Raw genomic sequence first — 20,872 nt, forward strand, 5'->3', positions numbered from 1 at the left:
TCTTTGCGGGATATGGGGGTGAGGCTGGGTCTCAGTGCAGCGGTGCTTAGAGAGAACTGCAGCCAGGGCCTGGCAGGGAAGCGGGAAGAGACCAGACCTTCTTAAGGAACGGGGTGTGGGGGCTGGGAAGAATTGGAGAGGGGATCCCTGAAGAGCCCAGAGCCTTGACTCAGCTGGAGGCGGTACCATGGGTGCTGGTGCCCCCTCCTGCCCCAAGGCTGGGCAGGACCGCTGCGCGCCAGTGGAGGCCTCGGTCTGGGCTCTGTGGCTTATGCCTGTGAGACGCGGGTGGATTGCTTGAGCCCAGGAGTTGGAAACCAGCTTGGGCAACATAGAGAAACCCCATCTTAAGACAAAATCAGCTGGGGGTTGTGGTGCACTTGTGGTCCCAGCTACTCAGGAGGCTGAGGTGGGAGGATCACTTGGGGGTCGAGGCTACAGTGAGTCATGATCGCACCACTGCACTCTAGCCTGGGTGACAGAGCAAGGCCCTATCTCAAAACAAACAAACAAAAGACACCCCAACCAACCAAACACTAGAGGCCTGGGACAGGCCCACCTCTGACGTGGTCAGTTCTAGGAATCTATTCAGACGGGTCTCACTGCTAGGAGCCACCAGAGTCCTCCGGAACAAGGGCTTCAGAGTCCTGAAACCTTTCCGTGGAATACTTTAAGAAACGGTTATGAGGCCAGGCGCGACGGCTCACGCTGGTAATCCCAGGACTTTGGGAGGCCGAGGCGGGCGGATCACGAGGTCAGGAGTTCCAGACCAGCTTGGCCAACATGGCAAAACCCTGTCTCTACTAAAAACAAAACATTAGCTGGGCATGGTGGCGCGCGCCTGTCGTCCCAGCGACTTGGGAGGTTGAGGCAGGAGAATCGCTTGAACCCGGGAGGTGGAGGTTATGGTGAGCCAAGATCCCCCCCAGCTGCACTCCAGCTTGGCGACAGAGCAAGACTCCGTCTCAAAAACAAAAAACAAAGCCGGTTATGAAGCGGGGGTGGGGTGGGCTAGTTTTAATAGGTCCAGGCGATTAGTACCTGGCATCCTTAACCACCTACAGTTTGAGAAGGGAGTGGGTGATAAAAGCCTGGAAGGGAAGGGAAATCGGGCCGGGCATTAGGCTCCATCGCTCATCAATAGACAAGGCCTTTAGGAAACTGCGACAACGGCTTTTGCTCTGGGCCTTTACTGCCGAATCCAGGTCTCCGGGCTTAACAACAACGAAGGGGCTGTGACTGGCTGCTTTCTCAACCAATCAGCACCGAACTCATTTGCATGGGCTGAGAACAAATGTTCGCGAACTCTAGAAATGAATGACTTAAGTAAGTTCCTTAGAATATTATTTTTCCTACTGAAAGTTACCACATGCGTCGTTGTTTATACAGTAATAGGAACAAGAAAAAAGTCACCTAAGCTCACCCTCATCAATTGTGGAGTTCCTTTATATCCCATCTTCTCTCCAAACACATACGCAGCAGTGTTACAGCTCTTTTAGAATTTGTCTAGTAGGCTTTCTGGCTTTTTACCGGAAAGCCCCTCTTATGATGTTTGTTGCCAATGATAGATTGTTTTCACTGTGCAAAAATTATGGGTAGTTTTGGTGGTCTTGATGCAGTTGTAAGCTTGGGGTATGAAGGTTTGGGCCACGCCTGGGCGCTTCCGGCTGCGCCGGATGCTGTTTCCTTTCCGCTCCCAGGGGCGTTGGGAACGGTTGTAGGACGTGGCTCTTTATTCGTGAGTTTTCCATTTACCTCCGCTGAACCTAGAGCTTCAGACGCCCTATGGCGTCCGCCTCGACCCAACCGGCGGCCTTGAGCGCTGAGCAAGCAAAGGGTGAGAATCGTCCTAGTCAAGGCATAGGCTGCTGGCCTGGGGTAGTCAAGGCATGGGCTGCTGGTCTGGGGAGGATGCGGGCGGAGGATGTGGGGCGACAAACCTGGCTACGTCCGCCGGGAAAATGGGGTAGGGGACGCCGGGTACCGTCCTTCTAAGTGGGGCGCTTGCCCCCAAGACTTGGGATCTTATTGGGTTACCTACAGCCTCAATCCACTAATTCCTTGCGCTCTCCGCTGGGCCCGCTGTCTGTTCTCCGACGCCTACCCGGGACGCCTCCCTGGGATGCTTCTGGCGCGCAGTGGTCCTCGCGGAGGTGATCCAGGCGTTCTCCGCCCCGGAGAATGCAGTGCGCATGGACGAGGCTCGGGATAACGCCTGCAACGACATGGGTAAGATGCTGCAATTCGTGCTGCCCGTGGCCACGCAGATCCAGCAGGAGGTTATCAAAGCCTATGGCTTCAGCTGCGACGGGGAAGGTGGGTCAGACGCGGGAAGGCGGGTCAGACGCGGGAAGGCGGGAGTTGGGTCGGGAGAGGGCGCCGGATCTGTGGGCCCATGAGCGGTTGTCCCCTTTCTCGCCACACGGCGGCAGCCACAATCTGACTAACATTCTTGGCACTCAGAGCCCAGGGTCTACCCTGAGCTTGTGCGTCCGAGTTGCGTTTTGTACAGTAGAGGTTCTGTATCCCTTACCCGAAATGGTTGGGACCGGAAGTGTTTCGGGTTTTTTCAGATTTCGGAATATTTACATATACATGGATATCTTGGGGGATGGGACCTAAATCTGAACACGAAATTGTTTTGTTTCATATACACGCACCTTATGCACATAGCCTGAGGGTAATTTTATATAATAGTCTGAATAATTTTGTGCATGAGACAAAGTTTTGACTGCGTTTTGACTACAGTCTCCCCCACCCCCCACTATGAAGTCAGGTGTGGAATTTTCCATTTTCGGCCTCACACTGGCACTCATAATTTCAGATTTTGGATTTTCTAATTAAGGATGGTCAACCTGTACTGTTAATCACATTATTATTCCATTTTGTGATGAGGAAGCAAACTCTAATGGTGCAGACTCTCGAGTAGCAGAGCTGGACTTAAATGCTGTTGTGCCACCTTTTAGTGACATGTCTGCATGACAGCAGTGGCTGCAGTCTCTCCAGGGTGTTTCAGCTAATTTTTGTTTGGGGGGGGTTGGTGGTTAAATTTTTGGTGAGATCCTGGTGTTCCCCAAAGGTGTTGACTGATTCAGCTCTGCTGCCTCATAGCCTTCCTGAGTTCCAGCTACAGACCTGGGGTCTCGTGTTCATTCTTGGGGTTCCAGTGACTAAACTGCTAAAATGGTTCACCTGAGAGCAAGAAGCACACTGCCTTGGGACATTTTCATTCACTGCATCCCATCTAGTTGTGCCCAGTGTAGACCAAATGTCATCATCCAAACCACACGGGACAGAGGCCTGCATGCGTCCTGTTTGGCAAACAGCTGCCCAGCCAGTGGGGGAGCAGTTCATGCTTAGACTACCACCCCCTCCAGGTGTCTTAGGCACGCTGGTCCTTAGGAGAAGGGTTGACCTTCCACTCCCTCTTGCAGGTGTCCTTAAGTTTGCTCGCTTGGTCAAGTCCTACGAAGCCCAGGATCCTGAGATCGCCAGCCTGTCAGGCAAGCTGAAGGCGCTGTTTCTGCCGCCCATGACCCTGCCACCCCATGGGCCTGCTGCTGGTGGCAGCGTGGCCGCCTCCTGAGAGTTGGCCCTCCCTTGTGCCACTGCCAGGGGAGGAAAGGCCTTGATGTTCCAGACAATAATAAATGCGCCTGTGACTTAGCCTTGGTGTCAGTCTCTTGCGGACCTGACAACCCCCATCTCTCCTTCCCTGATTCCCTCTGCCTTTCCAGGCCCCATCCCCCTGAACAGCTCCTCCCTATGGTCCTGGCTGGGCCTAACCCTGCCCCAGGGCCTAACCCTACCTGAGGCTCCTCCCCTTCCCCCGGGGCAGGTTGAGAGGCTGGAGTGGGTCCCTCAGCGCCCTGGGTGGGTGGGCCTGCACAGGGGGTACCTCCTTCTCTGAGGAACTGGGCTGTTAGGGATTTTCCTTAGGCCCTTTGGTTTCCGCCTACGGAGAGGTTTCCCCCATTGGTTGCTCTTCCTCAGCCAGGGTTACTTCCTGGTCTGTTCCCCTACCCAATACCCCGCCGCTCTGTCAGCTTGAGCTCCAGGTGGAGCTCCAGGTGGCTCCTCCTCTCCCGGGGGAAGGCGGCCCTGGACCAGCAGGCGGGCCTGCTGTACTCCCGCTTTGGGGCTGCAGGGAAGCTGGCCGCTGTGGGCGGTCTCGGGCCAGCCCCGCCCCACCTGTCCTTTTCCTGGAGACTATTAGTCCAGGGTTTGTCCCTGCAGTGCCATTGGCCTGGCAGGCAGGATCGAGGAGGAAGTGGCTGATTACTGAGCGGTTCTTCCTCACCTGGCTTGGGCCACTGTGCACAGCTGTGCCGCTGGCTCAGCCCCGCCCCCTGCGGCCCTCTGCCGTGGCTTCCCCCTCCCTACAGAGAGATGCTGTCCCGTGGGTAAGTCCCGGGCACCATCGGGGTCCCAGTCTCCTGTTAGTTTTGGAGGGAGGGAGGGCTTTGTTGATGCTCACTCCGACGTGTGTGAACGTGAGTGCGATCTGCCGCTGCCCTGCGCCTGTTTCCGGTCCCTATGAACTTCCCCTTCCCGCAAGGTGTGAGGACCCCCGGCTCACTCATGCTCCTCTGCCCCCTCTTTAACATTTTCCCCTGGACAAGTGTGTATCTGTTCTCTCCATTGCATTTCTACTTCCAGCCTCTGGGCTCCTGCTTCTGCCTCCTGCTTAGGACCTGTCCCCCTGGGTAGCTCACAACACCTCAAACATAGCAGTCAGAGGCCACCCGCGAAGGCCCTCCCACGTCCAGCCAACTTCTCCGCACTTCCCAACATCAGACTTTGGTCCCATCTTCTTTGTTTCCTTTCACTTCCCTTTCCCCTGCATCATTCATTCAACAGGTACGTGTTGAGCATCTATTATGCACCAGGTGCTGTTTAAGATGCTGGTAATACTGGAGTGAACAAGACAGACATGGTCTCTGCTCTCACGGAGCTTACATTCCAGTGGGAGGTTACAGACCGAACAAATAACCCAATAAATTGGATCATTGCAGATTCTCAGAAGTATTACGCAGAAAATAGACAGCCTTGGCCGGGTGTAGTGGTTCACACCTGTGATCCCAGCACTGTGGGAGGCTGAGGCGAGAGGATTGCTTGAGCCCAGGAGTTTGAGACCAGCCTGGCCAATATAGTGAGACCCTGTCTCTACAAAAAATAAGAAATTAGCTGGGTGTGGTGGCACACGTCCTGTGGTTCCAGCTATGGAGAGGCTAAGGTGAGAGGCTTGCTTGAGCCTGGGAGGTCAAGGCTGCAGTCAGCGATGATTGCACCACTGCACACCAGCCTGGGCGACAGAGTGAGACCTTGTCTCAAAAAAAAAAAAAAAAAAAGAAAATGAACCAGCTTCATATGCTAGCAAGTGACTGGGTGTGCAGGTGACATTACTAGCTGGAGGGATCAGGGAGGCCTTCCCGAGGAGGTGACATTTGAGCTGAGACCCGGATGAGGAGGAAGAGGAGCTGGCCATGTGACGTAGTGATCAAGAGTCAAGCATCTCTGGGCAGAGGAGATGGTGAGCACAAAGCCCTAATGTGGGAACAAACAAAAAAAGGACAGTGTGCCCGTGGCAGAGGACCCTAGTGGAGCGGAGGCAGGGCCACAGCAGGTTAGACCATGTTGGAGCTAGGATGTTGAAAGTGAAAACCTGACGAGATGAGGTGGCGCACGTCTGTGATCCCAGCACTTTGGGAGGCCGAAGGGGGAAGATTGCTTGAGCTCAGGAGTTTAAAACCAGCCTGGGCAACATAGAGAGACCCCATCTCTATTAAAAAAAAATACTGGGTATGATGGCCCAAGCATGTGGTAGTCCTAGCAGTTTGGGAGGCTGAGGTGGGAGGATCACTTGAGCCCAAGAGTTCAAGACCACCCTGGGCAACATAGGGAGAGACCTCATCTCTACTACGACTACGACTACTACTACTACTAATAAATAGCTGGATGTAGTGGCATGCACCTGTGGTCTCAGTTACTTGGAAGGCTGAGGCAGGAGGATCACCTGAGCCAAGGAGGTCGACGCTGCAGTGAGTTGGATTGTGACACTGCACTTCAGCCTGGGTGATAAAGCAAGATTCTGTGTCAAAAAAAAAAAAAAAAGAGAGGGAAGGAAAGAAGGAAGGGAAGGAAGAAAGAAAAAGAGAAAGAAGGAAAAAAAGGAAAGAGCGAGAAAGAAGAAAGAAAAGGAAGGAAGGAAAGAAAGAAAAGAAAGGAAAGAAAAAGAAAAAGTGACACCCAGTCGAAAGAAGAAAGGAAAGAAAAAGAAAAAGTGACAACCGGTCGAAAGAAAAAAGAAAAAGTGACAACCGGCTGGGCATGGTGGCTCAAGCCTGTAATCCCAGCACTTTGGGAGGCCGAGGCAGGTGGATCACGAGGTCAGGAGTTCAAGACCAGCCTGGCCAACATGGTGAAACCCTGTCTCAACTAAAGATACAAAAAAAAAATTAGGCTGGCACAGTGGTGCGCACCTGTGAGTCCCAGCTACTAGGGAGGCTGAGGCAGGAGAATTGCTTGAACCCAGGAGGCGGAGGTTGCAGTGAGCCGAGATTGCGTCACTGCACTCCAGCCTGAGTGCAGCGGGAGAGACTCCATCTCAAAAAAAAAAAAAAAAGAAAAGAAAAAGTGACAACCTGCTTACAGAGTACTGGCGAGTTTGTGGGTGGGTGGCTCCCTAGCCCTGCTGATTCTTGCTTCTCACACTCATGTCTGCCCCTGCCCCAGTGCACATCTTGTCACTGTCGGCCCCACCGATGGGGTTCCTACTGAGTCTTCTGGTCCCTGATCCCGTCTGTGGTCATTTTCCTGCCAGGTAGCTTGGCCAGGCCTCCCCTGGTGCAGATTTCATCCTTGGTTTCTCAGCCTGGCCTTGAATGACCCTCTACAGCAGGGTCCCCACCTCTCAGAACAACTTTGCTCCAGCCACATGGCTTGCTCACGGCCAGGCACTGCCCATGTGGACTCTGTGCGTGCCACCTCTTTGCCCTGACCCATGTTGCCTCTGGGGGAGCACTTCTTCCTCCACCTTCCATCATGGGCTGTGGCAGTGCCCATCCCATCTGCCCCCGACGCTGTCTGCTGCAGTATGGTTGTTGGGGGAAAGGGCACCAGGCTCCGGCGTCTGACAGCCGTGTTTTACCCACCTTCCTACTCACTAGCTTGTGACCTTGGGCAATTACTTAACATCTCTGAGTCTTAGTTTCTGTTTCTAAAATTGGGTGAATAACACCTACTAAGTAGGGTTGGCCTGAGGATTAATAGTATAATGTAAAAGCTGGCAGCACTGAAACCCTGCCACTTACCAGCTTTTCACATCAGTATTTGGGAAATATTGTTAAGCTCATTTGTCAGGCGGGGATTCTGAGGCTCAGAGCAGTTCCAGAACTTTCTACAGATTATTTTGCCTTGTTTGCGCTTCCAGACTGCCTATCTTCTTGTATCACCATTGATCTTGATCTGTATGGTTTTTAATTTTTTTTTTTTTGAGACGGAGTTTCACTCTGTTGCCCAGGCTGGAGTGCGGTGGCATGATCTCGGCTCACTGCAACCTCCACCTCCTGAGAAGCTGGGATTACAGGCATGTGCCACCACACCCGGCTAATCTTTGTATTTTTAGTAGAGTTGGGGTTTCACTATGTTGGCCAGGCTGGTCTCGATCTCCTGACCTCGTGATCCGCCAGCCTTGGCCTCCCAAAGTGCTGGGATTACAGGCGTGAGCCACTGCGCCCGGCCAACTTCACGTTTATACACACCCATGCAAACAGCATCCAGATAGAGACAAAGAGCCTTCCCTGTACCCTAAAAGTTTCCCAGAAATTGTTCCCAGTTAGCATATTTATTTTTATAAAGGTAATGCATGCCCATCATATAACATTCAAAAAGGTATGTAGAGAACCAAGTGTCTCCCCCAGCCCTGTCCTCCAGCCACCCAGTTTCCCTCCCTAGGGGAAGCCACCAATATGTGTTTCTTATGTATCCCCTGTTGAGCTGCTTTTCCTCGTTTTGGTTTGGCGGTGTTGATGTTTGTATTTGGAATTACAGGTAGGCAGCATCATATACCTTAGTGTTTAGGGCCTCTAAGATCAACCAGCCCTGAGAAAATCAGCCATGGTGAGGACCTTGTCCCCCAGCCCCCCAGGAGATAGGCCCCCTGGTGGGAGTGCTGGGGCAGGGCAGAGGCCTAGGGACAAGAATTAGAAAGGACCCATGTTGACAGGGCTGCTCAGGGTCATGTTGTCCATCCCTCTGCCACAGTGGCATGGACAAACTGCATATGTTGGTTAGAGGAGGGCACCCTTCTCTCTTGCAAGCATTGGCAAGGTCTTAACTATTAGTCTCCTGCTCCCATGGCAGCCCCTTTGGACAAGGAGGCTCTTAATCTCTGTTCTTTGAAGCCCTGAGGGCTGGTGTATAGGAGTTCAAAGCACTGGCTTTGGAACCGGACTGTCTGGGTTTGAATCCTGGCACTGCAGCTGACTCACTGATGGACTCAGGCAATGCCTTAAACTCCCTGAGCCTCAGGTTCCTTGTCTGTAAAATGATAAAGATAGCCCCTGTTTCATAGGGCTGTGGTGAGAAACCAATCAGACAAGGCATGTGAACGCCATTATAGCACAGCGCCCGGCATCCAGCAGGACTCACTCGATGACAGTTGTCACCGCCATCATTGTTATTAGCGTGGGCCAGGGAGGGCTGCGTAAAAGCAGCTGGTGGAGGAGGGAGAGATGCCGTGGGACCGTCTGGGTTCGCATGCGTGAAGTATTATCTGGGCCTGGAGTGTGCAAGGCACACATGTGTCCTTACTGCATGTGTTGTCACATATGTGCAATGCCATGCTCCTGAGCCTTTGATTGCAGACGTGTGGGAAGTGGGCCCCGTCCCCACCCCCAGTGCCACCCTGCTCTGCTTCTCTTCCCTTGCTGTGCTCTAAAACGAGAAGTACAAGTGAGTTCCCCCAAGGGGTCGGCCGCGCCTCTTCCTGTCCCCGCCCTGCCGGCTGCCCCAGGCCAGTGGAGTGGCAGCCCCAGAACTGGGACCACCGGGGGTGGTGAGGCGGCCCGGCACTGGGAGCTGCATCTGAGGCTTAGTCCCTGAGCTCTCTGCCTGCCCAGACTAGCTGCACCTCCTCATTCCCTGCGCCCCCTTCCTCTCCGGAAGCCCCCAGGATGGTGAGGTAAGGGCCTGCCACCCACGGTAGACAGGAGGCAAGGGTGCCTGGTGCCCACGGGACCCCTCCTCACTGCCCTGCCTGGGCCGCCCAGGTGGTTTCACCGAGACCTCAGTGGGCTGGATGCAGAGACCCTGCTCAAGGGCCGAGGTGTCCACGGTAGCTTCCTGGCTCGGCCCAGTCGCAAGAACCAGGGTGACTTCTCGCTCTCCGTCAGGTAGGTGGGCCCCCCGCAACCCCGGGCATTTTGGCCACTCTCTTGTGCCATCCAGGCCCTGAACCACTCATTCCTGGTTCCCCGTGGCAGTGCTGACTCCCCGTCTGTTCCCTTGCCCCCAACCCCCACACTCCCCATCCCTGTCTGTGCCCACCCATGCCCATGTGTGCCCCCACCCAGGACCTCAGCCGATCCCTGCCCTCCTGCCTCTACTCCTGCACCGACTGGCCTCACCGCCTGGTGCCCTGCAGGGTGGGGGATCAGGTGACCCATATTCGGATCCAGAACTCAGGGGATTTCTATGACCTGTATGGAGGGGAGAAGTTTGCGACTCTGACAGAGCTGGTGGAGTACTACACTCAGCAGCAGGGTGTCCTGCAGGACCGCGACGGCACCATCATCCACCTCAAGTACCCGCTGAACTGCTCCGATCCCACTAGTGAGAGGTGAGGGCTCCGCACCCCCGCCATTCCCAAGCAGGGATGAGCCGGCTCCCACCCTGAACAGCCAGGGAGGCAGGGAGACTGGCAGCCGGCGCTGCCTACCCTCCATCCCCTCCCCTCCCTGCACCAGCTGGGGCTCTCAATGTCCCTCCTCCCTGCTGTCCTGGGACCTGGTGTCTCAGAGCCTAACCTACCACCCTTTCCACCTAACCCCGAGGAAGCCACAGAAAGCTGCCTCGCCCTACTCCGGGAGCCCTGGCCGCTGCAACCCAGGTCCCACTGGAGACAGGGAGGCCACTGCTGGTGGCCAGCATGTCGTGCAGGCCAGCTCTGTTGTTAGAAAGCTCTTCTTCCTCTGGAATCGAGCCTGCCTTCCTCCGTCTGCCCCTCACCCCAGCACATGTTAGGACAGTGAGGAGCTGACACTGGGGTGAAGATGGGGATGAATGCTTGCCAAGACACTTGATGCCTTGTCCCAGCCGCCCCGTGGGGATGGGTCTGTCCTGTGGGGTCAAATAGGTCTCCGGCCCAAACAGAGATCATTGAGAGCACGATGTGAAGTGTTCACCTGTGTAAAGTGTCTCACGCTGTCCCGGGCACAGAGTAATACTCCAGGCATTTCCTTCCTGTGGCCTCCCCGACTCCTCCTGTGGTCTCCCAAAGGCATGGGCTGGGGGCTGGGGGCTCTGAATGCTCCTCATGACACCATGGCTCCTTTCAGCAGCCGCATCTCAATGCCAGATCCCCTTAGAGTAAAGGGCAGCGGAATAACGCTAGGGGGTTTTCACATGCACCCCTGGGCCAAGCCGACTTGCCCTTGCCGTGGATCCCTGCATTCATGGATCGGTTATTGAAATGATCGGGAACCTTGCTCCTGCCAGCTTGCAGCCTCTCTGAGATTCGGGCCTCCAAACTGCATCAATATTTTTGGTCAAGGCACTGATTGAAACTTAGAGCTGGATTCGGTCACGGTGCAGCCCTGTGGCCCACCTGGGAGGCCTCCTTTCCTGGATCGGCCTCCTTCAAGGCCTTCCCTCTCTCTGTGAGCCTCACATGGCTGGCTCCGTGTCTGCCCCCTGCCCTTCCTCTTCCCCACCGCAACACTCAGGGGGCTTTTGGCACCGAGACCCTCTAAAGCTCATGTCCTCTCTTTCTCCTTGCCTCCAGCCAGGAGAGGAGGACGGGCTGACCAGTGCCTGGAGGTGGAAGAGAGGAGCAGGGCCCCAGGAGGCCCCTGCAGAGGAGGCTGAGGCCTGGGTTCAAGGAGAAGAGAGAAGAGAGAGAAGGAAGGGAGGGCAGTGCCGGGGCGGGAGGTTAAGACCAGGGAAGCCGCACTGGAGGCCCTTTTGGGTGACCCGTCCCAGGAGCCAGTGTCACCCCTGAGCCTGGGAGTGTGTGAGAGGCTCTTTCTCCCAGGTTCTGCTGTGTCCTCTGCCTTGTCTGTGCGCCTCCTCCTCTGCGAGAATTTGCATCTGTCCCTCGGTGGCTCTGCGCTTCCTGTGGTCAGCCTGACATTTGCATGGAGACTTCCTCATCCTGGGGCCTGAGGGAAGGGGCTCAGCCCCCTCCCCGCTACCTGGGGTCCTAGCCTGTCCCCAGGCGGTGGGCTGAAGTAGCCCAGTGGGGTTAGGAGGCTCTGGGGGTCTCTCGGCTGGAGTCACCTCCGGGCAGGGGTGAGATGGGTTGGGACAGACTGGTCCTCCCCTCCTTCCCCCCATCCCTGCGGTTGGAAAATTTGCCCGCCCTCCCCTCGTCCCTGGGCTGAGGAAACCTCACAACCTCACTTCTCACTCTCTCCCCAGAAGGAGTTTTGTGTTTTTTCCATCACGTGGTTTCCTGTGGGGCTGGGCTTTGTGGGGCTACAGTTTCCTCCTGGGAAAGGGGTGTGCTTCGGGGAAAGGGCTTAGTTCTGCTTTCTGCCCTGACAGCCCCTTCAAATCCGTTTGAACCCTGGGCTCCCCTTCAGTGACATCATCCAGGGCACCCCAGAACCCCCTACACCACTCTTTCCCCAGTGGGGTTGTCTTCCCCGCCTCCCTGGCGGAGCGCACCCCATCCGCCTTCCTTGTGACTTGAGTCTGTGTGTCCATCTCCCACCACTCCCTGTGGTGTGGCCTCGGTCTGCGTTTCTCTTTGCCTCTGGTCTCTGCTGGGGCACAGTCCCATCCTTCACGGAGATTCATCCTTAGCTTCTCTCCTCCAAATATTTTGAATATTGCCAGCCTTTCTGCCTTTCAGAGGTGGGCTCTGGGTTCGAAGCCCGGTTAGAACTCTGGAGGCTAGGATGGCTTGAACCTGGGAGGTCGAGGCTGCAGAGAGCTGTAACCGCGCCACTGCACTCCAGCCTGGGCAACAGAGCTCTGGAAGCTTGCCCTAGAGTCAGTCAAGGGCCCTAGGCCAGTGAGTAACAGCTCAGCGTCAGTTTCCTCATCTATAAAATGGGGGTAATATCATACCTAGCTCTCAGCATGTTTGTGAGAGACCTAAATGAGGTGGTGGATTTGGAAGCATGTAGCGCAGTGCCTGGCACACAGTAGGTGCTTGATTTCCGGCCCCTCTCTGTGAATGTCTCTGCTCAGCGCCTTCCCCTGTGGCCTGGGTCTTACCTTCCCTGACGCTGCCTTCTCTAGGTGGTACCATGGCCACATGTCTGGCGGGCAGGCAGAGACGCTGCTGCAGGCCAAGGGCGAGCCCTGGACGTTTCTTGTGCGTGAGAGCCTCAGCCAGCCTGGAGACTTCGTGCTTTCTGTGCTCAGTGACCAGCCCAAGGCTGGCCCAGGCTCCCCGCTCAGGGTCACCCACATCAAGGTCATGTGCGAGGTAAGGCAGCCAGGCGGCGGGGGAGCCTCTGCTGAGGCTCCTGTCTGTGACCACAGTGTGGGTGGCAGGGAGGGTCTGCCTGGGCTTGAATTCAAGGCTGGGGACCCAGGGAGGGAGACTCAAGTCCTGTGAATGGCCTAATTTGGCTCCCCCCAGGGTGGACGCTACACAGTGGGTGGTTTGGAGACCTTCGACAGCCTCACGGACCTGGTGGAGCATTTCAAGAAGACGGGGATTGAGGAGGCCTCAGGCGCCTTTGTCTACCTGCGGCAGGTCAGGGGTGGGCCCAGCTGCCTCCCCACTTCCCCTGAGCTGTCCCCCAGATGTGAGCTTCTGGGATCTCTGAGTTGCTGACTTCTCGCTCTTCCCCACCCCAGCCGTACTATGCCACGAGGGTGAATGCGGCTGACATTGAGAACCGAGTGTTGGAACTGAACAAGAAGCAGGAGTCCGAGGATACAGCCAAGGCTGGCTTCTGGGAGGAGTTTGAGGTGCATGGTGGGGACCGGCAGGGCTGGGGCAGCTGAGGTGGTGGCAGCGGCCTGGGGCCCCAGGCGGACACCTTCCCCTCCTTGCCCACCTCTGCTCCTGACCCACCCCACGTGAGCTCCCCCGATGGATGCCCTCTTTGGGAGCTGATGCTCATTTCCCCACCCACATCTCAGAGTTTGCAGAAGCAGGAGGTGAAGAACTTGCACCAGCGTCTGGAAGGGCAGCGGCCAGAGAACAAGGGCAAGAACCGCTACAAGAACATTCTCCCCTGTGAGCACCCAGGCTGCCCCATTCACCCAGGATACCGCCCCTGCCCCAGCTGCCTCCCCTCATCTCACAGGTCTCCACCCTCCACGCCAGGAGGGGCCATCTCCCCACACCCCCCACAGAGCCTCCCCCTTCTCCAAAAGGCCTCTACTCCTCCCAGAAGTGCCTCCCCACCACCAGCAGGCAGGTTGCCCCCTGCTCCCAACCTCCTTGTGAACTCCCTCACTCCCTCCATACAGATGATCCCCCACCCCTGCTGCCCACAGTCCCCCGCAAGCCTCATGGCTTCTGAGACCAGAATGGCCTGTTAGCTCAGGAGGGTCTGACCCAGGTGTGGTGAGTCCCTGGCTAACCCAGACCATCTCGCCTCCTCTCCGCCCACTCCCAGTTGACCACAGCCGAGTGATCCTGCAGGGACGGGACAGTAACATCCCCGGGTCCGACTACATCAATGCCAACTACATCAAGGTCAGCAGTGTGGGCCACGTGGGAGGAGAGGCTGGGCCCTGGGAATTCCCTGTCTGGTGGGGGGACCCTAGATCCAGAGACAGCTGGGCAAAGCCGAAGCTGGCTTCTTGCATGGGTGAGGGTGGCAGTGGTTCAGGGCCTGTGCTGGGCCAAGGGGCTCACTGTCTTGGGGTGCGTCTCTCCACGCTTGCGTCCAGAACCAGCTGCTAGGCCCTGATGAGAACGCTAAGACCTACATCGCCAGCCAGGGTTGTCTGGAGGCCACGGTCAATGACTTCTGGCAGATGGCGTGGCAGGAGAACAGCCGTGTCATCGTCATGACCACCCGAGAGGTGGAGAAAGGCCGGGTAGGGCGCCCCCCCTTCCCCGCATCCGCCCCCGTGCTTGTGGTCATGCCATTAAGTCGAAGAGCAGTCAGATGCCAGGGCAGAAAGGGATCTCAGGGGTGAGGGTCCGGCCCTTGTTGGGAAACTGAGGGCTAGTGACAAAGTCTCGACTACACAACGTGACCCCCAGATCCCTGCATGCATCCCTGGGCTCTTCTGAGCTCCAGACCCAGGTTCCAGGCTGTCCTCCTTCCTCCTACCCCTGCCCCACCTGTCTGCATCCAGGCCCCTCCTGTCCTCCCTGCCCCATAGATCTCTCTGGAGTCTGCCCCTTACCCTGCAGGCTCCCCCTACACAGCACCCTCTGTGCTGCCATTGAAGTGATCCCATCCGTGACACAAACTGGGTCAAGTTCCTTCCTTTCTGAAATCTCTTCCATGGCTCCTGGTCACCTTTGGGATAAAGTCGCACTCTAAGGCCTGGCATTCAAGGTCTGGTGGCTTCCCTCTGACCCGCACGCTTCTCTTGAAGGCTCACCGCCCCCAGCAGCCCCAGCTCTTTCAGGTTCCCAGCCTTTCTTTGCACAAGCTCATTTTCTGCTAGGAAATGACTCTCTCCACACTATCTCTGCCTGGCAGATGCCTCGTTTTTGAAGACACAGCCGGAGCGCTGCCTCCTCTGTGAATCCAGGTCTTGTTTCCTCCAGGACCTAGAGGGAGAATTACGTCTTTCCCAGCCACGCTCCTCAGCGCGGTGTCTCCCCCGGTCACCTGTCTCTGTGAGCTCCTCGAGGCACAGGGGCACAGACTGGGTGTTATTTGTGTCTGTGAAGCTGTGTGGTTTGCACAGCTTCGGGGACAATGCCTGCCCTGGCAACGTTTGTTGAATGACAAACGGATGTACCGGTGAAGTGGCTGGCCAGGCCTCACCACCTGTTGGTGGTTGATCTGAGACGAGAGCCCAGGTCTCCTGCCTCTCTGCCAGCCCATCCGTCCATCCAACAAATGTTTGGGCCGGTGCCAGGCACTCAGAACATAGAGCAGGACCTGGGATGGGCCACAGTGCCCTGCTCTGTGCCTCATCCCCACCCGACCCTCCCTTTCCAGAACAAATGCGTCCCATACTGGCCCGAGGTGGGCATGCAGCGTGCTTATGGGCCCTACTCTGTGACCAACTGCGGGGAGCATGACACAACCGAATACAAACTCCGTACCTTACAGGTCTCCCCGCTGGACAATGTGAGTGGCCCCCACGCCCTGCCCCATTCCGGGAGTCCCTCCCTGGACTTGTTCTCCTCTCTGGTCGGGTAGGGTGAGATGGATGAGGTGTTCCGAGAGAGGAGGGGGCACTGACCCTATGTCCTCGGCTTAGGGAGACCTGATTCGGGAGATCTGGCATTACCAGTACCTGAGCTGGCCCGACCATGGGGTCCCCAGTGAGCCTGGGGGTGTCCTCAGCTTCCTGGACCAGATCAACCAGCGGCAGGAAAGTCTGCCTCACGCAGGGCCCATCATCGTGCACTGCAGGTGAGGATGATAATCCTGATGGTAGTAGTGACAGCTGAGAAGTAAATACTGCTAAGTGCCATGAGCTGTTATAAGCAATATAAACGTTAGCTCGCACATTGAGTGCCCTCCGCTCACCCCCGGCTTCTCCTGGGTCCCCTCATGGCTCCAGAACCCTGGGTGGATCGTGGCTGGAACCAGCCCCACTTTGGCCCTCTGCCTGTGGGTATCTTCCTCAGAGCCCTCTCCGGATGTACCATCTCGCCCAACCCTGCCAAATACAGAGGAGGAGCCCGGGACCCAGTTGCTGGCCAGGCCCAAGCTAGTCAGGGCAAGGCCGGGCAGGCACCCACAGTAGGCCTGTGTCCCGGCTGCTCCGCTTTCTCTCGAGGTCCCATTCTGTTGGTTTCTTCTCCCAGGAACATCTATGAGGCATGTGCTCCCCATTCCTCCTCTTTTTCCATCGGTAGCCGCAGGGCTTCGGCTTCTTCCTGACTCTGCCCTCTCTCCCAGCTTCCCCAGGCAGTGCCCCATCCTGGCCCCCAGGGCTGTGTGGGGATGGGTGATGCTTCTTTGGGGCTGCACATAACTCCTCTGTCTATCTACCCGCATGTTTGTGATCAGGAGACCTCTGGTAAGGTGCAGAGGTGGGGGCTGCAAGGAGGAGCAGGGGTTCCACAGGTGAGCCCACTGAGCTGGCCTGGCCTGGGTGGATGAGAGGCAGTGGGTGCAGGGCCCCTCCGCTTACCAGCTGTGTGGTCTTGGACAAATTACTTAACTTTTCTAACCCTCAGCTTCCTCATCTGTAAAATCAGGATCTCAGGGTTGTCGTGAGAACTCAATGAGACCCTATCGTTGTGGCTGGAATTCCGTCAGCCCTCAAAAACTGGGCGCTGTTACTAGTTTAGTAACTCACATCAGGCAGAGAATAGGGGAATGGGAACCTGCCTTGCCCCGGTCCCTTCCCACTCCCTCCGTGGACCCCAGGCCTGCGACGGCCTCTGGCTTCCTCCTCTTCCCCCAGCAGCTGTTTGTCCTGGGACAGGGCAAGTCGGCTGAATCTAGAGGTGCCCCCGATGGGCTGTCCGGGGACGCGGCTCTGTCCTGTGCTCTCTCAGGGACAGGCCCATCCCCGAGAGCTACCCTCCTGCTCACCCGCCACACACACATTCACACACTTCTTGAAAGCCCCATGGCCTTTATTTAGACGTTACAGGAAGGAAGTGGGTGTGGGGGGTTATTTTTGACAATCTGGGTTTGAAATTAGACAGCGCGACTCAGGGCATCAGCTTGCTGGGCTCAGCTGAGGGTGGGCCTGGGGTCTCCCTGAGGTCTGTTTGCCCAGGGCTGGGAAAGGAGAGAAACTTCCTACTGCACTGCTCCCCTGAGTCCCCTGACCCTGTGCCCCCGCACCCTGCTGTCTCAGGGCTATCCTTTCCCTGACGTCAGGGTTTGAAGGAAAAGGGAAGTGAAGCCATGCTGAGAGACGCTCCATAACTCCTTCAGGGAGAGGCGGGGAGGGCTCAGGGTACCTGGGAGCCGGCAGGACAGTGGTGGGATTTGGGGGTCCCAGGTCTTCCGGGGTGGGGGCAGCCACTCACTAGGAGTGAGGAGTCGGCGCGAGGAGTGGAGGAGGGAAGGATGGTGGCAGCTGGGGAGCCAGCGTCAGCACCGCAGAGCCCGAGGTGGAGCGTGTCCATGCAGAGCTGGGCAAACCTCCATCATCACTTGCCCGGTGACCCTGGGCACATTCCCTCCCATCACTGGAGGCTCAGGCTGCTCCTGTGGTGCCTGGGGCTGGAGCTGAGCGCTGGGTACCCCCCTTCCCGGGGAGGGCTTGACTGGCCTCTGATGGCACCCCCGTCTTTCCCCAGCGCCGGCATCGGCCGCACAGGCACCATCATTGTCATCGACATGCTCATGGAGAACATCTCCACCAAGGGTGAGGGGCACCTGGGGGTTTGGGGGTGGGGGGTGAGCAGCCCCTCGGTGTCCGCCTATGCCTGGACCTGAGGTTTGACTGCCCCCCACCCAGGCCTGGACTGTGACATTGACATCCAGAAGACCATCCAGATGGTGCGGGCGCAGCGCTCGGGCATGGTGCAGACGGAGGCGCAGTACAAGTTCATCTACGTGGCCATCGCCCAGTTCATTGAAACCACTAAGAAGAAGCTGGAGGTCCTGCAGGTGCGTGCAGAGCAGGGCCTGGGGGGGGGGGGGGCTGCAGTGCAGGATGGGTGCCACCTGGCCCTGCTGGGACCACCACCTTCCCACTGTCCCTCTGCCCACAGTCGCAGAAGGGCCAGGAGTCGGAGTACGGGAACATCACCTATCCCCCAGCCATGAAGAATGCCCATGCCAAGGCCTCCCGCACCTCGTCCAAGTGAGTGGCCCTGACTGCCACTGCCCGGCATCCACCCCTTTGTCCTGCCCAGCCCGATCCTCACTTTCTGGAGAGGACAAGTGTTGCAGCTGGGGGGACCTGGCTTCAAGTTCAGGCTTGGTTCTCACCCCTTCTGTTCATAAGCATTTCCTGAGTGCCCACACGTGTGGGCCTCTGCTAGGTACCAGCAGCGCACTCGTGTATGAGATGTAGCCTCTGTCCTCTAGGAGCTTGGAGTCTAGTGCAGGGACCGTGGCTGCGTCACCTGTGAGACGGGGTGGCCAGAGGGGACTGCCAGTGCCGGGTCCCCCTGTGCTGTCTCCTGACCTGCACCAACTGCCTGTACTTGCCCCCCTGCACCCGGCTGCAGACACAAGGAGGATGTGTATGAGAACCTGCACACTAAGAACAAGAGGGAGGAGAAAGTGAAGAAGCAGCGGTCAGCAGACAAGGAGAAGAGCAAGGGTTCCCTCAAGAGGAAGTGAGCGGTGCTGTCCTCAGGTGGCCATGGTACAGCTCTTCTGCCTGGGTGTCCTCCCTGCCCTGCCCTGTGTCCTTGGCTCCACTGCCTTCCCTGGGTGGATGGGGTGGCCGCAGCCTCATTCTGTGCTTCCCAGCTGCCCCAGACCCTCTTGTTCCACCTCCAGGTTCCAGCTACCCTCTCACTCCCTCACTCCCTTCTCTTGGCAGCCTCAGCCCTGACCCTGTGGAAGCATTTCGCGATGGACAGACTCACAACCTGAACCTAGGAGTGCCCCATTCTTTTGTAATTTAAATGGCTGCATCCCCCCCACCTCTCCCTGACCCTGTATATAGCCCAGCCAGGCCCCAGGCAGGGCCAACCCTTCTCCTCTTGTAAATAAAGCCCTGGGATCACTGTGTGTCGCCTCTGAGCCCTTTGCTTGCCCAGTGAGTGGGCGGCCAGAGGGCAGGGCAGGATGGGTAACTGTGTGTGCCTCCGTGCGTGCCTCGCGTGAAAGCTCCGCCTTCCGTCAGACGGACGTGGGTCGGGACTCCGCCTCGCACGTGGGAGGGTGACCGTGGGTGAAGCTCCCCAGTCTCCTTCTTTAAAATGGAGGGCGATCATAACAGGGTGGTTGTGAAAAGCACCGAGATGACGGCTGACGATAAGACGGGCACAGTGACTCATCACACGCTTGCCATGTGCCCAGGCACTAAAAGACTACACACGTTAGTTCAGTCTAGGCACTTCTGTCATTCTCATTTTACCGTGGCGGAAACTGAGGGACAGAAAAACTAAGTAACTTGGTCACTTGCCCAAGGTCACAGGGCTATGGAACAGTGAGGCTGGGATTCGAACCCAGGCTGTCTGACCCCAGAGCCCACACTCCTTACCCTGGAGTTGCAGCTGGGGCCACCCTCAGGGGGGCCCTGATCACACTCCCCTGATGCTGAGTTCCAGATCTGAACTAAGAAGAGTAGTTAACAGCCGGAAGCGCAGACCTGAGGCCAGCCCGGCTGCGTCCCCTCTGGCGGGAACAGGGACAGGCTCCTCAGAGCACCCGGGCACGCCCAGCTCCTCCCCTCATCCAGGCCGCTGCTGCCCTTATCCTCTTGGGCAGAGTTTGAAGAGCTGGCTGACGTGAAGAGTGCTTTGTTTTTTGTCCCCTCTTCCTTCCCCCATGTCAGGAGTGGGGTTTCTTCTTTATTTGAAACACTGGTGTCCTGGGGAGTAAAGCCGGTGGGAGTCATCCCTCAGGAAGTGCTGGCGCCCACTCCTGGAAAGGCTGAGACAGCACAGGTCCCAAAGCCCAGAGGCTGGGCGTGCATTACTCAGCAAATCCTTACAGAGCCCCCGGCGTCACAGGCATTCACAGTCCCCCGACCTCCTGGAACTTAGGAGGCTGGTCAGGGAGACAGATTCACAAACCGATCACAAGCATCAAATAATTGCAGGCGGGTATTAAGAAGGAAGCAAACAAAGCCTGGGAGAGAGAACAGCGAGGGATTGAGCAACCCAATAGCTCCCTGGGGCTGTGGCCCTCCAGGGCACGGGTGGGGCAATCACCTGTCGGGCCCAGGTCCCCTCTCCCAGCAACGCCCTTTCTATACAAGCCGCAGCTGCACAAAGGCAAGTCCCACCTCCTCTAACCGCCCTTGGGCTACCTGCCCTTGGGGTGGGACTTGGACTCCACTGAGGGCTGTGCTGTGAGGTGGGTCCGGGAGCAGCTCGGTCCGGAGAGTGGAGCGCGATCGTTCCCTCTGCAGGCCTCAATCGAGGGGCAAGGCTGATGCTCCGGGCCAGCTGGGGTCTCTGGGTAGCGGTGGGTAACTTCACACTAGCGACACCTTGCTGGGACCCGCCTGCCCTTCACAGGCCTGGCGGGGCCTTCTCCCTCCCCTTTCCCTCAGGGGATCCCAGCACAGGCTGGGCACTGCGGGGCGGCACAGCCCAACTCCTGCCCAGCTGACCCCTCGCTGACCTCAGGGATCTCTCTGGCCTGCAGCTCCGCTGTGGGCAGGGTCTGAGGCCACAGAGGAATGGGCTAGTCCTGGGGGCAGCATCTGCTGTGGGGAGGGGACCCAAGGACAGCCCCCGCTTTTTGTACCTCTGGAGACAGGGGTGAGACTAGGCAGGTTGGAGAAAAGAGGCCCCTGGGAGAGGGTGGGAGGCCTAGAGGAGTGGCCAAGCCTTAGAGGAGGTGCCCGTGGCTGGCGCTGGGAGGGAAGGGGTTAAGGCAGTGGGGGGGCAGCCTATGGCAGGAGGACACACCTGTGCGCAGGGTGGCAGGCGGGGCCCAGGTAAGGAGCC

General features: G+C 57.4%; 2 protein-coding genes, 1 long non-coding RNA gene and 1 other non-coding gene across 15 annotated transcripts, besides 33 other annotated features; 3 read left to right on the plus strand and 1 right to left on the minus strand.

The window, feature by feature from the left end:
• Positions 1,097 to 3,667, plus strand: C12orf57 (chromosome 12 open reading frame 57). 6 transcript variants are annotated; one of them, NM_001301834.1, is made up of 4 exons: positions 1,166 to 1,326; positions 1,771 to 1,837; positions 2,140 to 2,316; positions 3,435 to 3,667. In NM_001301834.1, exons 2-4 carry the CDS (start codon positions 1,786 to 1,788, stop codon positions 3,584 to 3,586), a joined length of 381 nt encoding a protein of 126 aa, NP_001288763.1. In that variant the 5' UTR covers positions 1,166 to 1,326; positions 1,771 to 1,785; the 3' UTR covers positions 3,587 to 3,667. The 6 variants fall into 6 exon arrangements, 5 of the variants coding, with proteins under 5 accessions (NP_001288765.1, NP_001288763.1, NP_001288767.1 ...); NM_001301836.2 differs by lacking the exon at positions 1,771 to 1,837 and having other exon boundaries at positions 1,097 to 1,326; positions 3,435 to 3,666; NR_126035.2 differs by lacking the exon at positions 1,166 to 1,326 and having other exon boundaries at positions 1,686 to 1,837; positions 2,044 to 2,229; positions 3,435 to 3,666.
• On the plus strand, positions 1,480 to 1,542 carry RNU7-1 (RNA, U7 small nuclear 1). The gene has a single exon (NR_023317.1). It is a non-coding gene; the product is annotated as an RNA, U7 small nuclear 1 (small nuclear RNA).
• Positions 1,494 to 2,073: an enhancer, noted in NCBI's record as "NANOG-H3K27ac-H3K4me1 hESC enhancer chr12:7052993-7053572 (GRCh37/hg19 assembly coordinates)". NCBI's record gives its function as "activates a minimal SCP1, AML or CMV promoter by ChIP-STARR-seq in naive H9 embryonic stem cells {active_cell/tissue: H9 hESC(naive)}" and the evidence as "EXISTENCE:reporter gene assay evidence [ECO:0000049][PMID:30033119]".
• Positions 1,494 to 2,653: a biological region, named in NCBI's record as "NANOG-H3K27ac-H3K4me1 hESC enhancers GRCh37_chr12:7052993-7053572 and GRCh37_chr12:7053573-7054152".
• Positions 1,573 to 1,762: an enhancer, noted in NCBI's record as "active region_5892". NCBI's record gives its function as "activates an Ori minimal core promoter by ATAC-STARR-seq in GM12878 lymphoblastoid cells {active_cell/tissue: GM12878}" and the evidence as "EXISTENCE:reporter gene assay evidence [ECO:0000049][PMID:35858748]".
• Positions 1,976 to 2,235: a silencer, noted in NCBI's record as "fragment chr12:7053475-7053734 (GRCh37/hg19 assembly coordinates)". NCBI's record gives its function as "represses an EF-1alpha promoter that drives an FKBP-Casp9 reporter gene in an ReSE screen in K562 erythroleukemia cells {active_cell/tissue: K562}" and the evidence as "EXISTENCE:reporter gene assay evidence [ECO:0000049][PMID:32094911]".
• Positions 2,063 to 2,182: an enhancer, noted in NCBI's record as "active region_5893". NCBI's record gives its function as "activates an Ori minimal core promoter by ATAC-STARR-seq in GM12878 lymphoblastoid cells {active_cell/tissue: GM12878}" and the evidence as "EXISTENCE:reporter gene assay evidence [ECO:0000049][PMID:35858748]".
• Positions 2,074 to 2,653: an enhancer, noted in NCBI's record as "NANOG-H3K27ac-H3K4me1 hESC enhancer chr12:7053573-7054152 (GRCh37/hg19 assembly coordinates)". NCBI's record gives its function as "activates a minimal SCP1, AML or CMV promoter by ChIP-STARR-seq in naive H9 embryonic stem cells {active_cell/tissue: H9 hESC(naive)}" and the evidence as "EXISTENCE:reporter gene assay evidence [ECO:0000049][PMID:30033119]".
• Positions 2,193 to 2,342: an enhancer, noted in NCBI's record as "active region_5894". NCBI's record gives its function as "activates an Ori minimal core promoter by ATAC-STARR-seq in GM12878 lymphoblastoid cells {active_cell/tissue: GM12878}" and the evidence as "EXISTENCE:reporter gene assay evidence [ECO:0000049][PMID:35858748]".
• Positions 2,903 to 3,513: an enhancer, noted in NCBI's record as "H3K27ac-H3K4me1 hESC enhancer chr12:7054402-7055012 (GRCh37/hg19 assembly coordinates)". NCBI's record gives its function as "activates a minimal SCP1, AML or CMV promoter by ChIP-STARR-seq in primed H9 embryonic stem cells {active_cell/tissue: H9 hESC(primed)}" and the evidence as "EXISTENCE:reporter gene assay evidence [ECO:0000049][PMID:30033119]".
• Positions 3,509 to 3,628: an enhancer, noted in NCBI's record as "active region_5895". NCBI's record gives its function as "activates an Ori minimal core promoter by ATAC-STARR-seq in GM12878 lymphoblastoid cells {active_cell/tissue: GM12878}" and the evidence as "EXISTENCE:reporter gene assay evidence [ECO:0000049][PMID:35858748]".
• Positions 3,509 to 4,122: a biological region, named in NCBI's record as "H3K27ac-H3K4me1 hESC enhancer GRCh37_chr12:7055013-7055621".
• Positions 3,514 to 4,122: an enhancer, noted in NCBI's record as "H3K27ac-H3K4me1 hESC enhancer chr12:7055013-7055621 (GRCh37/hg19 assembly coordinates)". NCBI's record gives its function as "activates a minimal SCP1, AML or CMV promoter by ChIP-STARR-seq in primed H9 embryonic stem cells {active_cell/tissue: H9 hESC(primed)}" and the evidence as "EXISTENCE:reporter gene assay evidence [ECO:0000049][PMID:30033119]".
• PTPN6 (protein tyrosine phosphatase non-receptor type 6) lies at positions 4,241 to 18,980 on the plus strand. Of its 7 annotated transcripts, none has more exons than NM_080548.5 (16): positions 4,241 to 4,403; positions 9,273 to 9,395; positions 9,647 to 9,841; positions 12,469 to 12,658; positions 12,815 to 12,931; positions 13,036 to 13,149; positions 13,324 to 13,420; positions 13,806 to 13,885; positions 14,083 to 14,232; positions 15,318 to 15,449; positions 15,583 to 15,737; positions 17,591 to 17,658; positions 17,752 to 17,903; positions 18,008 to 18,099; positions 18,470 to 18,609; positions 18,790 to 18,980. In NM_080548.5, the coding sequence occupies exons 1-15, from the start codon at positions 4,390 to 4,392 to the stop codon at positions 18,582 to 18,584; spliced, it is 1,794 nt and encodes a 597-aa protein (NP_536858.1). In that variant the 5' UTR covers positions 4,241 to 4,389; the 3' UTR covers positions 18,585 to 18,609; positions 18,790 to 18,980. The 7 variants fall into 7 exon arrangements, with proteins under 7 accessions (NP_536858.1, XP_011519290.1, XP_047285187.1 ...); XM_011520988.2 differs by having other exon boundaries at positions 18,470 to 18,600; NM_080549.4 differs by lacking the exon at positions 4,241 to 4,403 and adding an exon at positions 9,020 to 9,184 and having other exon boundaries at positions 18,327 to 18,609.
• Positions 4,269 to 4,318: a silencer, noted in NCBI's record as "silent region_4196". NCBI's record gives its function as "represses an Ori minimal core promoter by ATAC-STARR-seq in GM12878 lymphoblastoid cells {active_cell/tissue: GM12878}" and the evidence as "EXISTENCE:reporter gene assay evidence [ECO:0000049][PMID:35858748]".
• Positions 7,016 to 7,065: an enhancer, noted in NCBI's record as "active region_5896". NCBI's record gives its function as "activates an Ori minimal core promoter by ATAC-STARR-seq in GM12878 lymphoblastoid cells {active_cell/tissue: GM12878}" and the evidence as "EXISTENCE:reporter gene assay evidence [ECO:0000049][PMID:35858748]".
• Positions 8,318 to 9,253: an enhancer, noted in NCBI's record as "H3K4me1 hESC enhancer chr12:7059817-7060752 (GRCh37/hg19 assembly coordinates)". NCBI's record gives its function as "activates a minimal SCP1, AML or CMV promoter by ChIP-STARR-seq in primed H9 embryonic stem cells {active_cell/tissue: H9 hESC(primed)}" and the evidence as "EXISTENCE:reporter gene assay evidence [ECO:0000049][PMID:30033119]".
• Positions 9,254 to 10,187: an enhancer, noted in NCBI's record as "H3K27ac-H3K4me1 hESC enhancer chr12:7060753-7061686 (GRCh37/hg19 assembly coordinates)". NCBI's record gives its function as "activates a minimal SCP1, AML or CMV promoter by ChIP-STARR-seq in primed H9 embryonic stem cells {active_cell/tissue: H9 hESC(primed)}" and the evidence as "EXISTENCE:reporter gene assay evidence [ECO:0000049][PMID:30033119]".
• Positions 10,188 to 11,122: an enhancer, noted in NCBI's record as "H3K27ac-H3K4me1 hESC enhancer chr12:7061687-7062621 (GRCh37/hg19 assembly coordinates)". NCBI's record gives its function as "activates a minimal SCP1, AML or CMV promoter by ChIP-STARR-seq in primed H9 embryonic stem cells {active_cell/tissue: H9 hESC(primed)}" and the evidence as "EXISTENCE:reporter gene assay evidence [ECO:0000049][PMID:30033119]".
• Positions 11,227 to 11,486: an enhancer, noted in NCBI's record as "active region_5897". NCBI's record gives its function as "activates an Ori minimal core promoter by ATAC-STARR-seq in GM12878 lymphoblastoid cells {active_cell/tissue: GM12878}" and the evidence as "EXISTENCE:reporter gene assay evidence [ECO:0000049][PMID:35858748]".
• Positions 11,617 to 11,666: an enhancer, noted in NCBI's record as "active region_5898". NCBI's record gives its function as "activates an Ori minimal core promoter by ATAC-STARR-seq in GM12878 lymphoblastoid cells {active_cell/tissue: GM12878}" and the evidence as "EXISTENCE:reporter gene assay evidence [ECO:0000049][PMID:35858748]".
• Positions 11,987 to 12,036: an enhancer, noted in NCBI's record as "active region_5899". NCBI's record gives its function as "activates an Ori minimal core promoter by ATAC-STARR-seq in GM12878 lymphoblastoid cells {active_cell/tissue: GM12878}" and the evidence as "EXISTENCE:reporter gene assay evidence [ECO:0000049][PMID:35858748]".
• Positions 12,387 to 12,536: an enhancer, noted in NCBI's record as "active region_5900". NCBI's record gives its function as "activates an Ori minimal core promoter by ATAC-STARR-seq in GM12878 lymphoblastoid cells {active_cell/tissue: GM12878}" and the evidence as "EXISTENCE:reporter gene assay evidence [ECO:0000049][PMID:35858748]".
• Positions 14,997 to 15,126: an enhancer, noted in NCBI's record as "active region_5901". NCBI's record gives its function as "activates an Ori minimal core promoter by ATAC-STARR-seq in GM12878 lymphoblastoid cells {active_cell/tissue: GM12878}" and the evidence as "EXISTENCE:reporter gene assay evidence [ECO:0000049][PMID:35858748]".
• Positions 15,157 to 15,276: an enhancer, noted in NCBI's record as "active region_5902". NCBI's record gives its function as "activates an Ori minimal core promoter by ATAC-STARR-seq in GM12878 lymphoblastoid cells {active_cell/tissue: GM12878}" and the evidence as "EXISTENCE:reporter gene assay evidence [ECO:0000049][PMID:35858748]".
• Positions 15,651 to 15,710: an enhancer, noted in NCBI's record as "active region_5903". NCBI's record gives its function as "activates an Ori minimal core promoter by ATAC-STARR-seq in GM12878 lymphoblastoid cells {active_cell/tissue: GM12878}" and the evidence as "EXISTENCE:reporter gene assay evidence [ECO:0000049][PMID:35858748]".
• Positions 15,831 to 16,020: an enhancer, noted in NCBI's record as "active region_5904". NCBI's record gives its function as "activates an Ori minimal core promoter by ATAC-STARR-seq in GM12878 lymphoblastoid cells {active_cell/tissue: GM12878}" and the evidence as "EXISTENCE:reporter gene assay evidence [ECO:0000049][PMID:35858748]".
• Positions 16,031 to 16,200: an enhancer, noted in NCBI's record as "active region_5905". NCBI's record gives its function as "activates an Ori minimal core promoter by ATAC-STARR-seq in GM12878 lymphoblastoid cells {active_cell/tissue: GM12878}" and the evidence as "EXISTENCE:reporter gene assay evidence [ECO:0000049][PMID:35858748]".
• Positions 16,641 to 16,740: an enhancer, noted in NCBI's record as "active region_5906". NCBI's record gives its function as "activates an Ori minimal core promoter by ATAC-STARR-seq in GM12878 lymphoblastoid cells {active_cell/tissue: GM12878}" and the evidence as "EXISTENCE:reporter gene assay evidence [ECO:0000049][PMID:35858748]".
• Positions 16,961 to 17,010: an enhancer, noted in NCBI's record as "active region_5907". NCBI's record gives its function as "activates an Ori minimal core promoter by ATAC-STARR-seq in GM12878 lymphoblastoid cells {active_cell/tissue: GM12878}" and the evidence as "EXISTENCE:reporter gene assay evidence [ECO:0000049][PMID:35858748]".
• Positions 18,291 to 18,370: an enhancer, noted in NCBI's record as "active region_5908". NCBI's record gives its function as "activates an Ori minimal core promoter by ATAC-STARR-seq in GM12878 lymphoblastoid cells {active_cell/tissue: GM12878}" and the evidence as "EXISTENCE:reporter gene assay evidence [ECO:0000049][PMID:35858748]".
• Positions 18,420 to 19,221: an enhancer, noted in NCBI's record as "H3K27ac-H3K4me1 hESC enhancer chr12:7069919-7070720 (GRCh37/hg19 assembly coordinates)". NCBI's record gives its function as "activates a minimal SCP1, AML or CMV promoter by ChIP-STARR-seq in primed H9 embryonic stem cells {active_cell/tissue: H9 hESC(primed)}" and the evidence as "EXISTENCE:reporter gene assay evidence [ECO:0000049][PMID:30033119]".
• Positions 19,222 to 20,021: an enhancer, noted in NCBI's record as "H3K27ac-H3K4me1 hESC enhancer chr12:7070721-7071520 (GRCh37/hg19 assembly coordinates)". NCBI's record gives its function as "activates a minimal SCP1, AML or CMV promoter by ChIP-STARR-seq in primed H9 embryonic stem cells {active_cell/tissue: H9 hESC(primed)}" and the evidence as "EXISTENCE:reporter gene assay evidence [ECO:0000049][PMID:30033119]".
• Positions 19,244 to 19,762: an enhancer, noted in NCBI's record as "nonconserved acetylation island sequence 91". NCBI's record gives its function as "activates a minimal heat-shock promoter by reporter assays in Jurkat T cells {active_cell/tissue: Jurkat}" and the evidence as "EXISTENCE:reporter gene assay evidence [ECO:0000049][PMID:17135569]".
• LOC105369634 (uncharacterized) lies at positions 19,296 to 20,763 on the minus strand. The gene is made up of 2 exons (XR_931601.2): positions 20,203 to 20,763; positions 19,296 to 19,785 (listed from the first exon to the last, which is right to left on the minus strand). It is a non-coding gene; the product is annotated as an uncharacterized LOC105369634 (long non-coding RNA).
• Positions 19,571 to 19,780: an enhancer, noted in NCBI's record as "active region_5909". NCBI's record gives its function as "activates an Ori minimal core promoter by ATAC-STARR-seq in GM12878 lymphoblastoid cells {active_cell/tissue: GM12878}" and the evidence as "EXISTENCE:reporter gene assay evidence [ECO:0000049][PMID:35858748]".
• Positions 20,022 to 20,823: an enhancer, noted in NCBI's record as "H3K27ac-H3K4me1 hESC enhancer chr12:7071521-7072322 (GRCh37/hg19 assembly coordinates)". NCBI's record gives its function as "activates a minimal SCP1, AML or CMV promoter by ChIP-STARR-seq in naive H9 embryonic stem cells {active_cell/tissue: H9 hESC(naive)}" and the evidence as "EXISTENCE:reporter gene assay evidence [ECO:0000049][PMID:30033119]".

The sequence above is a fragment of the Homo sapiens genome, chromosome 12, assembly GCF_000001405.40.
Source record: "Homo sapiens chromosome 12, GRCh38.p14 Primary Assembly".
NCBI classification, from domain to species: domain Eukaryota; kingdom Metazoa; phylum Chordata; class Mammalia; order Primates; family Hominidae; genus Homo; species Homo sapiens.